Source organism: Homo sapiens, chromosome 12, assembly GCF_000001405.40.
Source record: "Homo sapiens chromosome 12, GRCh38.p14 Primary Assembly".
NCBI lineage: Eukaryota > Metazoa > Chordata > Mammalia > Primates > Hominidae > Homo > Homo sapiens.
Window position 1 is genome coordinate 78,016,982 of NC_000012.12, and position 16,463 is coordinate 78,033,444.

Here is a 16,463-nt window from a genome sequence, read left to right on the forward strand (position 1 = left end):
ATTTTCATGGAGTTAAACTGCAGGGTAGTAGTTAATAGAGCAACATTTACAGGTAGCCAGATTCAAGTACTGGTTAAGCATCTACTAGATTGTTACCTAGGGCAACTTATTTGACCTCTAGATGTCTTAATTTCTTTATCTGCAGCACCTACATTGCAAGATTATTGTGAATTTTGAGTGATAGGCTCTAGGAAAATACTAAGCACCACACTTGGCACATATTAAGTGCACAAAAACAGGTAATAGCTCTCATGGTAATCACTGGTATCATGACTTTTAATTACTACAACTCTCAGTAACAGATGAAGGACCTGGCTTATTAGAATTCTAAATAAATTATACTCTGGAGGCTGAGGTGAGAGCATCTCTTGAACCAGGAAGGTCAAAGCGGAAGTGAGCTATGGTTGCTTTAGTGCGCTCCAGCCGGGGTGACAGAGTGAGACCCTATCTCAGAAAGTAAATAAATAAAAGAAATCCAGATAAACTGTTTTTGCAATGCTGTATCTTATAGTTTCAATAGTTACTCATAACATGATGACCATGTTGTAAATGCACAGTAAGATTGTCTACATAGGACCATGTTGCTGAATATTTTGAAGGAATATTATGATACATATTTTTTCTTTTTCCAGTTAATAGGAAGAGAATGCATTATCAGTTTATGGGGAAACAGTGAATGTGCCACTGCATTATTCACTATATCTGTCAAAATGTACTTTCTGATTAGAAAACACTCTTGATTCTAAAGTCTTTATAAATTATTTCATGAATCAACCCAAATATTTTTATTTAACTGGTACAAATCATGCATAAAAATAGAGGGTATGTTGTGCGTCTTCAGAGATTTAACTCAACTTCTTTGATCATTTGCATAAAAGGTACATCTTTACCAGTTGGCATTGATTGATCCTCTATAGACTGGAGTTAAAATCTAATTTTGCCATAACAAATTATGAGGTGGAAATACTAGAGAAACGGATGGCTTGTAACATCAGTAGACATTTCTGGTCCCATTTCCATGTGAATATAAAGCAAGGATGACTTCTAAGTCCTTTTTACAGTGATTTGAAGTTTACCTTCACCATGTTCCTTTCTTTCATCGATCAATCTATTTCCTTATTAATGCTAAGTTAGATCACTCATGTAGGGAATTTGATGAGAAATACACCAGAGAACTTAAGGTAAATAAGAGTCTCTTGTGACTTAAACTAAAAGACATAAAAGAGTGAGTCTGCCAAAAATATGCACTGCTACATTAACAAAAATTTTAAAAAGGCTTCCAAGACAAGACTGAGCTGTCACAAGTAGGAATACATTTTTTTAAAAAGCATGTCTCAGACAGGGGGAATGGGAACTTAACCAATGGAATTAAGTCTTACATATTGAGGAAGATAGCTGTAAGTCAGCTTCTGAAGAATTCTTTTTAAGAGCTGTTTGCTTTTAGTAGAGCAAAAACTATACGGCTAAAATACATTCCAAGTTTTCTTTTACTCCAGACTTTCTTAGATGGAGATAGAATCTTTTTTAACTAACATGGCCAGAAACATTCTTGCTCCTGTGACAGCTGTTGGTCTTGTTCTCATAGGAACCAATTAGCGGTGGGCTTTAGACAAATATTTCAGTGAAATGCTTAATGTGACTCAGCTTCTAAAAGATAAATCTGTGAATACAAAGTCTGCAGGACTAGAGGTCAACCCTGGCTCCCAGCCAGTTCAACAAGGTGCTGTGTCTCTGTGACACTTCTTTGCAGGCAGCCAGTCAGCTTTCCCTGGGGTCCACAGTTTCACTACATACTCTCCATTTAAACTTCTTCAGCAAGTAATAAAAATCCTTAGAACACTTCAGAGGATTGTTTTTCCCTTCGTTCAGAGACAATAGGTTAGGCAAGAGGTCAGCGAGGGGTAGAGTGGCCCACAATAGATGAAGCCAGGTGGAAGAACAGACTTTAGTAGACTTTAGAAACGAATGGGGAGGGACTGTCAGTAGATGGGGGATATGTGAGAAATTGGGGTCCAGAAGAGAAAGAAACAGCCTACACAAAGAGCAGATATATTTGCTCTTTTAATATTGACCAGAATTTCACAAGAGAGAATGTATTTCCGGTCCTTTTGTAATAACAGTTGATTTCACAATTATTTTGCAAGGCAGGCATTTTTTCTTATTTTTACAGATGAACAAACAAGTTCAGAGAGGTGAAGTAACTAGCCAACATCACATGAGTTAGTAACTGATTAGTGATGGGGTCAAGTTTTACACCCAAACCCAGTATATTTACACATATGCTACTCTTTCTTGCATATGTTTTACCCACCAATAATTTTGTTTTACCGTTGTGGCTAATATTATTTATTCATATATTTATAAAAGATTTGTTGACTGAAACTTATATTCTGATACAAGACTGGACACTGGGGATACAATGGTGAGTTCAAACATGGAGAATAGCGTCTAGTCTGGGAGTTAAACATTAATCAATTAATTACATTAATCTCATATCACAAGAGTATGAAGTTCTGAAAACATAGGTCCAGGGAATACTAAGTATGAAGTGCTTATAATTGGAGACTTTGCCTGATGAGCGAAATTAGGGAGGAATTTTTTAAAAATAGTCACTTGAGCTAAGACTTGGAGGGAAGGAATCAACTGGATGAAGTTGGGAGGAAAATAATCAAGTGTAAAGACCCTGTTTTGGCAGGAAGCTGTGGAAAGTGGGTAGAAGACTCTGGTGGCCACAGTAGAGAGAGGAGAGAGGAGTCTTGTGTGAGATGATGCTGGAGACCATCATCCCATAGGTTGCGTGGGACCCAACCATGCAAGACCTTGTAAGTTCCGTAAAGTTTTCACCAGAGGGCTCCATGAATCAGGACCAGGTTTGTTAATAAAATATTATGACTTTAGTTCTATAAATGATGGGTTTGAAGTATTTTTGTGACAGCCAAGAAGAAATGTCAATTAGACAGTCTTTATATACATTGGGAATTCAGAGTAAAGTGCTGGGTTAGAGTTAGAATTTTAGAATTCAGGCATAAATAAATAATAACCAATACAATGAATATGATTGAGATCATTTAGAGAGACTATAGACAAAAACTGGAAGAAGAATAGAATATTCCTTTGCTGAACTCCCGCTTCTGCTCTCTGTATCCCCACTTCTTTTTCTACTACCCAGAACCACAACATTTAATGATTATGTAGAGGAAAACAATAGAATAAAGTAGAATCCAGAGAAAATGGGAAACACACTGGAGAATTTTTGCCATAAAAGCCAAGGTAGTACAGTTTGATAAAGGAAGGAATGGGCTGCTGTTCTAAATGCTGCCGAGATACCAAATGATTGGAAGACTAAAATATCTTTTAAATTTAGCTACTTTGAGGTCTTTTTTTCTGGCCTTAATGGTATATATCCTATCATTTAAATAGTACATTTTCTTTCTAAATTTGTTTATGCTCTTTATATTCAGTTTTAAGCTAGAATAAAATAGGAACAGTCTGTCAGAAATTATTGGAGTCCAAGGCACAACTTTGTATAGGAAAGTTTCTTTCTTGTATAGTTCTTTCTTTCATATATTAATTCACATATATAACACATATATCAATACAGACAACATGTAGTTTTCCATACTTTATTAAAACCTAAGTGAACTTTTAAGTTTCTAGGACTGTCAGTTAAATATTGACTATTTCTAATATCAATGATTACTTTTTTTCTCTTGAAACTCAAATTTAGATTAAAAGCAAAATGTTAATTAAGCATTGATTCAAAAATATAATACATTTTTATTCATATATGAACATTATTTGTAAATATTCTTAAAGTAGTAAATATTGAAAGATCACTTGTCATGGCCCAGACCTACTACCAGAAAAAAAAAGGGTAGAAGTAAGGCAAATGAGATGTCTCTAAAGAACACAGTCCAGTGTGCAATCCTATATTACCTCGCCTCCTTCTGTGTCTTAGTAGTTCATGCCGTGAACATTTAAAATGTGTGTTAGTTTGTGTCAAATATACGTCGATTTTGAAGCTGCATCAAATAGAAAGCATATCTTAAAATATTTACCCATGCATAAAGGGAAGAAACATGCATGAAGTATGATTAGAATATCAAAAGTATTCAGGACCTTTGTTGAGTGCTTTTCTTTTAATTAGACACACTCTTTACAAGTTAACCACACACACAAATACATACCCATGTACATACATAGACAAATGTGAAACAGATGATATGAAAGGTAATTGTAAGAATGAGAATTTGTTTCTGGTTGACTTTAATTGCTCTGAAATCTTTGGTAATTAAGTCATCATAATGATGTATAAAGTCTAGAACAAAATTATTTTTTATTTTTACACATATTTTAAAATATATTTTATAGAATTTTTGTTTTAAAAAAGAATTTTAGGTGTGATTTTAATACTTTCACTATTCTCACAAAAAATGTAATTTGGCCATATTTCCTCTAAAATAGCAAAAGAAGTTGGATCTTTTAAAATATTTTGCTCCCAAATTATAATCAACTATTGGTAGTTATAAGCTTCCAAATTTAGACAAGCCTAAGAAATCTAATTCCACATCTCACTCCCACTTAGGTTGTGTATGAAAAATAACACAGTTCTCCTATACATAGACAGCTCTGGAACATTCCAGTCATAAAGAAATACTTACCTTGATGGAAAATTTGTAATTAATATTTCTTGTAGAACTTCCACTTTGATGAGTGACTAGTGACTATAACTGCTATTTCTTTCTATTTTCATGGTTAATTTCAGGGCACATTCAGAAAATGAAGGTACCGCTTTACCATCGGCTGACTCCTGTACCAGTCCTACAAAGATGGACTTATCATATAGTAAGACTGCTAAGCAGTGCCTGGAGGAGATATCTGGTAAGTGACCTCATCGATGCATAGGTCAAACCTAGGAATTTCCGTATTCTCTCCATAAGACTTTTTATTAAATCATATATGTGGTATACTGTTTTTAGTGCAAAAATGGACTATATACATCTCATGCTTCAAAGATCATTAACTATTTGGCTATTCTGCTTAGGATGATCTCTTTGTTACTATAAAAGGAATGGTAGTCCTTTCAGAAGTGAAGACTTTAAGTCATTTTGCCCTCAGTCAAGTAGTTGAATAAAATCAGAGAAAACCTGGATAATACATTTGGAGATTGAAAATAAACTAATGATTGGCCATGTATATTCTCCATGGCTAATGCAGCCTGCTCTGTCATCAATTCTGTATGATTTAAAACATCTCTACAGGGTGGCTTCAAATGACCATTCTAAAAAACTCTGAAAAGGAAAATATTTTATTATATATAGATGATGTAAGAAAAAAAATACATATCCCAGACACAGTTATCATGTTTTTGGTGTGTATCAAATGGGATGCTCAGCTTGAGCACAATGTTTTCTCTAGGGTCCAGGTAAGCCTAAGCATATATGGAAGGCATTTAGTTTAATTTCATTACATATAGATCTATATTCGTGAGGAATCAAGTAACCTCCTAGCAAAATATATTGCCCCTAAAGGGTGAGAGAGTACAGAGTACTTTATCTGCTCCTAAGTATAATAATGCATGAAAGTAGGGGTGTGTCTGTTGTTCCAGGAAATCTCTGGTCCAAGCCTGTGTATTCACAGCTAAGTTCAAATGAAGAAAACTAAATAAATTATTTAATTTTAAAAAATTACTGTGTACTCCAAAGACTCAAAGTATAAGTATTGCTATGAAGCTCAAGCGACTCTATCACAAATTTGGGGGTTAAGAAACTTCCCCACTTCGGCAGACCTGAAAAATATTTGGCAAGCATTAGACATGACTACAGCATCCTGCAGTGGATACTGACAACAATTACAGAACAACATCCCAAGGGTACATTTTGGAATCAGCATTAGTTGATAACATTAGGCGTCAGAGGTTTCATATGGAGATTACAACAAAGGCCAGTTCTAGGTAGGGGTAGAAATGGTAATGCCAAGACACAGATATAGGGCTAATAATTGTAGATTTTTCAAATACATGGGGGATGTGTTGACTTTCCATTAACTCTGGGTAGTACCACGGTCAAAATAATGCTATGTGTCTATTATGACCAGATGTTTTATAAAATTAGCATGGCATGAAGATGTGTATGCCTCATATATTTATACATAAATGTCCTCAAATTGCATGTTTTAGCACTAGAGCTCAAATCTTTAGGATAAATGAATTTAGTAGAGTTTGAATTGCAATTTTTTTGTGAATTTCACAAAGGAACACTGTTTTCAGAAACTAATATATCACGGTATATCTGATTGAATAGTCTGTATTTGATGTTTTTCTCCACTTCCTTATTGTCTACCCTTTGATCACTTTTTCATTTTTCCAGTTGATATTTCCTTTTAACATTCTGATTTTTAATAGAATACCTGAAAGTGAATATAAACTGGCAATTAATGTAATAATTTAATGGGTTTATCAGAGAGCATAATATCATTTTGCAGCAATAATCAATTATTTACATAAAATCATAGTTTTCAGTCTAGGATTTTGATAAGAATTCAGTAAAAGAAAGAAAACAGAAAATAAATGGTACAGTGAGACTTGTCTAATTATGTCAATCTCACTATCATCTGTTTAAATGCAGCCTATAGTGGGATAGTGAAAATGTCTCTCGTTGCTTGAGATTTCCTGGAAGAATTGTGATATTATTTGCAGTTAGTAAGTTATAAATTGAGTACTATAATTGAAGAAATTTAGATGAGGAAATATGAGCAGGCCAGTGATAAGATGACTATCACAGAGAAATTAGATTACATATCTTCATCATTTTAAGATTTTGGTTTATGGGTCACTATTACTCTCTTACCATTTCTGCCTTAATTTTTAGTGATTTTAGTATCTACACGGGTGTTCTTTCTAACACCTTGGCCTCTCCTCCCATAATTTTGTGTTGCAGTCCCTCCTGAGCTTCTTATTCTCATCATCATACCCTAGATCTAGGCACCATCAGAAACTACTACTTCTCTATGACCTCACTTTCATGCACTGCACTCTCACTGATTATATACTCCTATCATTTCAGTATTCTTCCTTTTGTTCCCTAACTCCAGCAATGATTCCACTAGGATTTCCAATTCATTGATCCTACCACTTTTTACCGTTCTTCACCAACCTCCGCATATTTTTCTTCTCTCCTTAGCTGAATTCCTGTAATGAGTGAATGTATTTTTATTTTTATATATCCTAACTCCATTGCCTCTCTCTCACTTAATTGTACTCATTTGATGAAATCATGACCTGGTTACATTTAAATCTCCACCTATTCTATACCAACAATGAATGAACCAGGAGAAAACACACCGCATGTCAATGCAACTCACTTTACATATATGACCTCCAACCTCAAGTGACTATGTAATGCTCCTGGCAGTCAGTCTATTTTTTATACCTTTTTTTCTCAAATGTCCGACATCACCAGTCCCATCCTTTCTCTTAACTGACAACCTGGATATGTACTTCACTTAAAAAAGTGAAGCACAAAGAAAAGTTCATGAACCACTGTCATCACATCTACCCAAGTAAAACATATATACCCACTTAATACCTATTTACTCTGCTTTTACTTAGATTACTCTCTCTTCTCTTTAATAGCTCCCTCCCAACCAAATCACTTATTTTAGGCCATAGCATACTATCATTTCTCCAACCTTAATTTAAAAAACACAACTTCCTGGCCGGGTGCGGTGTCTCACACCTGTAATCCCAGCACTTTGGGAGGCCAAGGTGGGCAGATCACGAGGTCAGGAGATCGAGACCATCCTGGCTAACGGTGAGATGCCGTCTCTACTAAAAATACAAAAAAATAGCCAGGCATGGTGGCGGGCGCCTGTAGTCCCAGCTACTCGGGAGGCTGAGACAGGAGAATGGCATGAACCTGGGAGGCAGAGCTTGCAGTGAGCCGAGATAGCGCCACTGCACTCCAGACTGGGAGACAGAGCAAGACTCTGTCTCAAGAAAAAGGGGGAAAAAAAAAGCCACAACTTCCCTTGACCCCAAATTTGTCCTCAAGTACTGTTGTGATTTATCTCCTTCTCTTATGGCATGCTGTAAAAAGAGTACGGTTCAATCACAGTCTCTTAGGCTTTTAGCCCCACTTCTCCACTGGAACTGCTCTTATTGAAGTCACCACTAATGTCAACATGGCCAAATCCAAGGATCAAGTCTCAGGGCTTATCTTATTTCACCTCACAGCAGCTATTTGTCCTCTTCTAAGAAGGTTTCTTCCTTGGTGCTATAGTTTGGATACAGTTTATTTGGTCTCACCAATTCTCATGTTGAAATTTGATTTCCTTGGCCAGGCATGGTGGCTCACGCTTGTAATTCTAGCACTTTGGGAGGCCGAGGGGGTCAGGTAATGAGATCAGGAGTTCGAAACCAGCCTGGCCAACACAGTGAAACCTCATCTTTACTAAAAGTACAAACATTAGCCGGCTGCGGTGGCAGACACCTGTAGTCCCAGATACTTGGGAGGCTGAGGCAGGAGAATCACTTGAACCTGGGAGGCAGAGATTGCAGTGAGTCAAGATCGCACCACTGCACTCCAGCCTGGGTGACAGAGCTAGACTCCATCTCAAAAAAAAAAAAAAAAAAAAAAAAAAAAGAAATTTGATCCCCAATGTTGTAGGTGGGGCCTCATGGGAGGTGTTTGGATCCCAGGGGCAGATTCCTCATGAATGGCTTGGTGCCATTCTCCTGGGAGTGAGTGAATTTTCACTGTTAGGTCCCACACAAACTGGTTGTTAAAAGTAACCTGGCACCTTCACTTTTTCTTGTTTATGCTCTCACCATATGATCTCTGCACAACAGCTCCCCTTTGCCTTTCACTGTGAGTGGAAGCAGTCTGAAGCCCTCACCAGAAGCAGATGCTGGAAGCAGCTTCTTGTACAGCCTAAAGAACAGTGAGCCAAATAAACCTCTTTTCTTCATAAATCACCCAGATAATCCTTTATAGCGTCACAAATGGACTAAGATACTTGATTTTCAGAGTCATGTATCCCCTCTGTTTTCCTCAAACCTTACTGTTCCTTTTTGGTTTCCTTTTCTAGTTATACTTTTTTTCTTGATGATTTCTTATGATTTAAATGATCCAGGTCTCTGCTTCTAGGTTTCTCTACCTATAAATGTGATTTAATATCGATATTATCTCATGGCTTTAAATTTCATCTATATTCTGATGGCTTACAAATGTCTCTCTCTGCACTAGTTCTCTCCCCGGAACTCTGGACTCAAATATCCAACTGCCAACACAATCTTTCCGCTTGAATATCTCACAGACACTTCAAACATAATATATCCCAAACTGAACCTCTGATATTAACCTAGCAAATTGTACCCCTCGAAAACTCTTTACCCAAGTCTTCTCCATTTTGATTAATAAGAATTTCATCCTTCCAGTTGCCCAAGCCTGAAACCTTAGAGTTATTCATGGCTCCTTTTTAATGCCTCACACCTGATGTCCTGATATTCTATTCATTATAGTATATTTTTGGCTCCAGAAGTATTGTTTTCTATTTGTACTCAGAAACAAATGGTGTATATGAATCAACTTTTTAGGATATTTCTCAGTACTTGAACTCTTGTTATTTTCTCAGAAATTCAGAAACTGAAAAAATTTAGATGACACAATATTGAACTAACTATAAGAAATAAGGTACTAAGATACCCTAGAATAATTGCATTTTAAAATATATCCAGAATTTGCCAGTTCTTCTTTTTTCTACTTTTATCTATTAAGTGGCATCACCAATGGATGGTTAGTATATAGATAGCATTCAATAAACGCATGTAAAATGAAATTAATATAATGGATGTAGCATTAAAATGAGAACTACGCTAAAAAAGGAACCTAATAATTTTCAGAGGAAAACAGTAAACAGAAAAGATAGGACTTATATCTTTGGCTTTGGAAGGCACTCAGGAAATAATCACAGTGAACTTATGACCAATTATACTCAACTGAAGGGGTTGATATAAATGGAAAATAAAAATTTACTTTTGATTATGCCATCACTGAATAATCAAAGAATATGAGGAAGAAAATGTTTAGTTATTCTACAGAAGTAATGTTAGAGTTCAGAAGCTCTCCCCGTTGAGCTGGGATTTTAAGACAGCACATTAGAAAATGGAAGAAAGCCAAGAATGGTGGCTCATACCTGGAATAGCAGCACTTTAGGAGACCAAGGCAGGACGACTGCCTGAAGCCAGGAGTTCAAGACCAGCCTGGACAACATAGTGAGACCCTGTCTCTAAAAAAAAAAAAAATTCAAATTGTTCAGGCATGGTGCTGTGTAGCACATGTGTAGTCCAATCTACTCAGGAGGCTGAAGAGAGAAGACTGCTTAAGCTCAGAAGTTCAAAGCTGCAGGAGTCATGATCATGCCACTGCACTCAAGCCTGGGTGACAGAGCAAGACCTTGTCTCCAAAAAAAAAGGGTGGGGGGCCGGGGGAGAAGAATAAATTTGTAACACAGGTTGAACATCCATAATTTAAAAATCCAAAATTCAGAAGGTCCCAAAGTCATAAGTTTTTGTGTGGTGACATAATGCCACTAGTGGAAAATTCCAAACCTGACCTCCTGTGACAAATTGCAGTCAAAATGCAGGTGCACAACACAGTTTATTCAGCATTCTCAGGGGAAAAAATAGTCTGTCAGCCCCTTTAGCTGCTATGTATCTTTTCCATGCACACCCACAAAGGGTAATACAATGGCATGTGTGCAGAATGGACATGCCAATGGCAGGTTCCCCACAGTGCCCCACATTGGGTCAAGACCTATACGCATTACTCTGTGGTTTTTGTTTTGTTTTTGTTTTTGTTTGTTTGCTTATTTTTCATTGTGTGGCATAAAGATATTGTTGAAAATGTCAAAAAGGCCTGAAGATACCCCTATGGGTAACAGTGATAAGAAAAAAAGGAAGCGTTTTTTTTTGTTTTGTTTTGTTTTGTTTTGTTTTTTTTATAGCACAGAAAGTCAAGCTGTTGGAGAGACTAGACTGTGGTGTAAGTGGGAAACATCTTCCAGAAGAGAATGGTGTTGGAATGACCACCATATATGACCTGAAGCAACCAAAGGATAAATTGTTGAAGGTCTCCATTGAAAGTGATGAACAGAATTAATGAAAAACAGAAAAACACTGCATAAAGCTGAAAATGAAGATCTCAATTGTGTATTGAAAGAGTGGATCCATCAGTGTCACGGTGTACACATGCCACTTAATGGTATGCTGATGGTTAAATAAGCAAAGATCTTTCACAATGAACTGGCAATTGAAGGAAACTAAATATTCAATAGGCTGGTTGTGGAAATTTAAGAAAATATATGACATTAAATTTTTAAAGATTTGTGGTGATAAATAGTGAAAACATACATTGACTAGTTTTCCAAGATCATTGCCGATGAAAAACTGACTCTGGAAAAAATCTTTGATGCTGAAACAACACAAGTTTTGATGCCTCAGAAAGATACTGACACAGAAGATAAGACAGCCCCTACAGGAAGTAAGGATGCCAAGGACGGAGTAACTGAGATTGGATGTACTTATACAGCAGGAACCCATAAATGAAAACTTGCTGTGATAACCAAAAGCTTGCATCCCTGCTGTTTTCAGGGAGTGAATTTCTTACCAGTTTATTATTATGCTAACAAAAAGGCTTGGATCACCAGGGACATATTTTCTGTTGGTTTTGCAAACATTTTGCATCAGCAATTCTTGCTCACTGCCAGGAAGCTGGACTGAATGACTGCAAGAATTTATTTGATTATATTTATTCTACTCATTGTCTAGCTGAAATTATTATCAAAAACAATGTTTATGCCATGTACTTTCCCCGAAATGTGACTTGTTAATTTAGCCCAGTGACGAGGTGATCCTTCAATCGAAAAAGAATAAATATAAAAACACTTCCTTAAATAGCATGCCAGCAGCAGTGAACAGAGGTATATGTGTGGAAAATTTTCAAAAGGAGTTTAGCATGAAGGATGTCATATATGCTGTTGTCAAGCCTTGGAATGCAGTGACTAAAGACATGGTTGTACCTGCCTGGCACAGCCTCTGGTCTGCATCTATGTTCAATGATGATGATGAACCAGGTGGTGACTTTGAAGGATTCCATATGTCAAATGAGAAAAACAATGGTGTCTGACCCTACCTATTCCAAAAAAAAAAAAAAAAATACTTTCAGAGTCCATAAGTAGGCTAGAAAAAGTGGATATCAAAGAAATTTTTAACATTGATAATGAGGCTCCAGTTGTTCATTCATTGAACATTGATAACATAGCCAAAATGGTGCTGAATTCAGGTGACTGTGATAATAGCAATGATGAAGATAACAATGTTAACACTGCAGAAAAAGTGCCTAGAGACAACATGATAGAAATGCATGATGATCTTAGTGAAGAACTAGAGCAGTGTACATTCATTACAGAACAATAAATTATGCCAGTTGATAAAAATCAGAGAGATTTCTAAGACAAAAACTGTTGTTAATGAAGCAGATGACTCTGGGGTAAACATTTTAAAAAGCTACACAGCAGAATGCCACCTCATCCCTAAGGGGCCCACTTCCCAGTCCCTCAACTGCTTCTGATGTTTCTTCTCACCTAAAAAAAAAATACAGTGTACAGTAACCTTTTAATCCAAATACAGCATTGAATGTAGAGATGGAAAGCTTGTGGTTGTTTGTGGTTGCTGTTGTTTCATAGCTGATACAGGTATTCTGGCAATGCTACTGTGCTGCTTAGTGACCTTGAACACATTATTTTTTCACTGCATTAATGCTATGTCATATTTTTTATTGGTAAGTACTTATGTATAAATAATTGCAATAAAATAATTGCCTATTAGTAGCATATAAATTCAGTCAGGAATGATGGTGATGCCACAAAACCACAGATTGTACAATCCTGTTAGGTGACTGAGATAGAGACACCTTTGATTTCTGATGGTTCAATGCACATAAACTTTGTTTCATGCAAAAAATTTTTAAAAATGTATAGAATTACCTTCAGGCTATGTGTATAAGATGCATATGAAACATAGGTGAATTTTGACTTGGGTCCCATCCCCAAGATATCTCATTATGTATAGGCAAATATTCCAAAATCTGAAAAAATTCAACATGCAAAACACTTCTGGTCCCAAGCATTTCTGATAAGGGATATTAAGCCTGTAATAGAATAACCCTATAAAAGAATGAACCTCTCAGAATTCTAAAGCTCATGAGATGTTTTCTATATTAATGATGCCTCTCTTTCTCAGAATCTCCATCCTTTATTGGCTTTCATCTTTCTGAGTTCTGGATGCTAGTGAAACCACAAAGCACTAAGCACCTGAATTTATTGCCAGGTCCTAGCTCAGACTGGCCCACAGAATACCCCTTCCAAGACTGTTTGAAATGTGGAAAGAGAAATGTTCTAGGAATTGGAAAAAATAAATTTTGGCTTCAGCACTGCAATTATTTAGCGATTATTTGGCCTCTGCACTGTGAATTGCTCCCTGGTTCCCTTTTCTGTGTGGTGAATATGATGATACTTAATAAACTCAGAAGATTGTTGTGAGGTATGGTATTATTCCTCCATCAGTCTTTTCAGTAATTATCACCTGGCATCTTACACATGCCAGACATCTCAAAATTTGGGAAAACAAATGTGACTAAGAAGTGAGCTCTCCTTTGAAAAAGTAAGAAACAAATAGATAAAATTTAACACCACAAATAAATGAATAAATAGGCACATGGAAACAACTAACTTAGCTGTAAAGAGTCATGCAGAACTTAAAAGAAGATCAGACATGCATATTGTAGAATTCTAATGAACAATGAAATTGTGGAATAACATGAAAATAATGGGAAACAAATTCTTCTTAACTTACTCTTTTCATTAGTTTCTTTTTGTAAAATTGGGCATTTCTCCTAAACTTACTGAGGTTTCGATAGTTCTCTGATTTTCTGCAACCCCAAGCTTCAACACTATTGTTATTGTTGAACTTTTATTGCTCATGGTTGCTGTAGGGGCCTCAGTGAGGAATAATTCTGCTTCCCAAGTGAAGTGGCCTTCATGATACAGAATTCTGAGGAAGTTAGTCTTGCCAGGGTAAGATGCAGGCTTTATAAATTTGTGAAGTCTATATAACATTCAGAGTCCTGAAAATAGTACAGAAAATAAAATGTATAGTGTCTAGAAAGGGGTTTAGGTGAGTTAGGAGTTCTATAGCTTAAGCTCTATTGCTGTGTATTAAGCCTACCTGGAAGTACTGGTGTCGTTTTGTGTGTCTGGTATCCATTGCCCCATCTTCTGATAACAGCACCTTGATTTTCTTTGGGGAGAATTCTCTGCTCATGTGATCTAACTGAAATTGATATAAGTGGAGCCAATGAGAACAATCTATTCATTGACTGCAGTGACTGTTTGAGGACTGGATGTGTGACCCAATCAAGTTTGATCAGAACAAATAAGACTCAATCTCAGGACTTTTCCTGAGGTTGTTATAAGAGAAAATGTGGCACATATACACCATGGAATACTATGCAGCCATAAAAAATGATGAGTTCATGTCCTTTGTAGGGACATGGATGAAATTGGAAATCATCATTCTCAGTAAACTATTGCAAGAACAAAAAACCAAGCACCGCATATTCTCACTCATAGGTGGGAATTGAACAATGAGATCACATGGACACAGGAAGGGGAATATCACACTCTGGCGACTGTGGTGGGGTGGGGGGAGGGGGGAGGGATAGCAATGGGAGATATACCTAATGCTAGATGACGAGTTAGTGGGTGCAGCGCACCAGCATGGCACATGTATACATATGTAACTAACCTGCACAATGTGCACATGTACCCTAAAACTTAAAGTATAATAAAAAAATAATAATAATAAAAAAAAAGAGAAGTGGTCTCTTTTTCCACTACACCTAAAACTAACAAAAGAGAAGCTTAGACCTGCTAACAGTGACCTCCACCCTCAAATGAAACAAACATAGAGGAAACAGAACCTAAATCAGGAGAGACCAAATTCAAGGCCATTGTCGGAAATAACTGAGCCCCTGAAAAATCCATGTCTGAAACTATTTCTCCTCTACTTTTGAGTTATGTAACCCAGAAAAAAGTCTTTTTGTGCTTACACAAATGTGAAAATCATCCCTATTGCATGACCCACAGGATGTATGACATGTAAAGATTTGCCATACTATTAAAGAGCAAACTTGAGTGGTTCACATTGCAATGCAGATGTGTTAGAGGGATTTGCTAAGTTAGTTGGAGAGCTTAGCTGTTTAAATTTTCACCAATGCAGTAACTCACTTGACATTATAAAAACATTGTCTTTGCCATTAAATGGTAATGAAAGTTTAAAAAGGTAATAAATTATGGTTTGAAGATAAATATCAGAAATGCATGACACTCAATAAAGTAGAATACTGGATAAATGACTTTTTCAATTTGAATATTCTTCATAAGTCTTCAGTGCACCTCTCCAAAATTTTTAAGTACGTCACTTAAATTTGCTTTTGCTTATTATGTTCTTTGTGAAGAAACCTAGTTGTATTTACCCAATCTGATGATGGTAGCTCCAATAATTATTATAGTCAGGTGAAATGTATTATATAATTTCTGCCATTGAAGAAGTAGCTTATTGCTTCCTGCCTTTCCTCTAAGATTCATATCATGACCTCAATATTACAGTGCTGGCTGAATTAATGGTACAGATTTTACTGCTTTGGCTTGAGTTTTATTCTCACATTCATTGACAGAAAGAATTTGTCCTCAGAGGCCATCCCTTTCATCATCTTCCAAGTGATTCTGCCAAATGTAAAGCGAGCCCAAATTTTCATCCCACTGGTACTCAAGGAAGTTTTTCAATTTTTCTTCTATAGGTTCACACTTGCCCTTTTTTTTTGCATAAGACTATCCACCAACATGTAACACATTTGTTTAATTCACTTCTTAACCTTTATCTGGAATTTATATTCAACTGAAAAATGTTCATAGGTGCTGGACTGGCTCAATATCAATAAAGCTGGCATGTCATTTGTAAAAAAGTAATATTAAAATTATTGGTTGAATTCAGGAAACCATTTTAGAAATAGAAGAATTTAGGTTAACCAGAAGGATAAGCGAATGGTTACATGTGCTTTTACTGACTACCAGACTTTGTATTAAAAGTGGGAAATATCTGACATTTACAATCTCTGTAAATGATCACTGAAATTGCCCTTTTTTTTTTGAATGTTTATAAAGATCAAGAAGATCAAGCTCAGATAATTCAAATCAGTTTAGGTCTTTTACTTAAATAGCCACATTATAATTATGTTTACTAAAGAGCTGAAAAGCATTCCTTTCCAGCACATTATAATAGCTATAACTTATTTTAGGTCTTGGCGTAATTAGAATGATTCACATTTTTCCTACTGACTGGGTGT

General features: G+C 36.2%; 1 protein-coding gene across 27 annotated transcripts in view; it reads left to right on the forward strand.

The window, feature by feature from the left end:
* NAV3 (neuron navigator 3) overlaps window positions 1–16,463 on the forward strand; it is a 641,149-nt gene that overhangs the window by 445,120 nt on the left and 179,566 nt on the right. For all 27 annotated transcript variants that reach the window (XM_017020166.3, XM_047429817.1, XM_047429823.1 and 24 more), the window contains one exon: window positions 4,766–4,881. In XM_017020166.3, coding sequence (XP_016875655.1) covers window positions 4,766–4,881 — 116 coding nt within the window. The remainder of the gene's footprint in view (window positions 1–4,765; window positions 4,882–16,463) is intronic.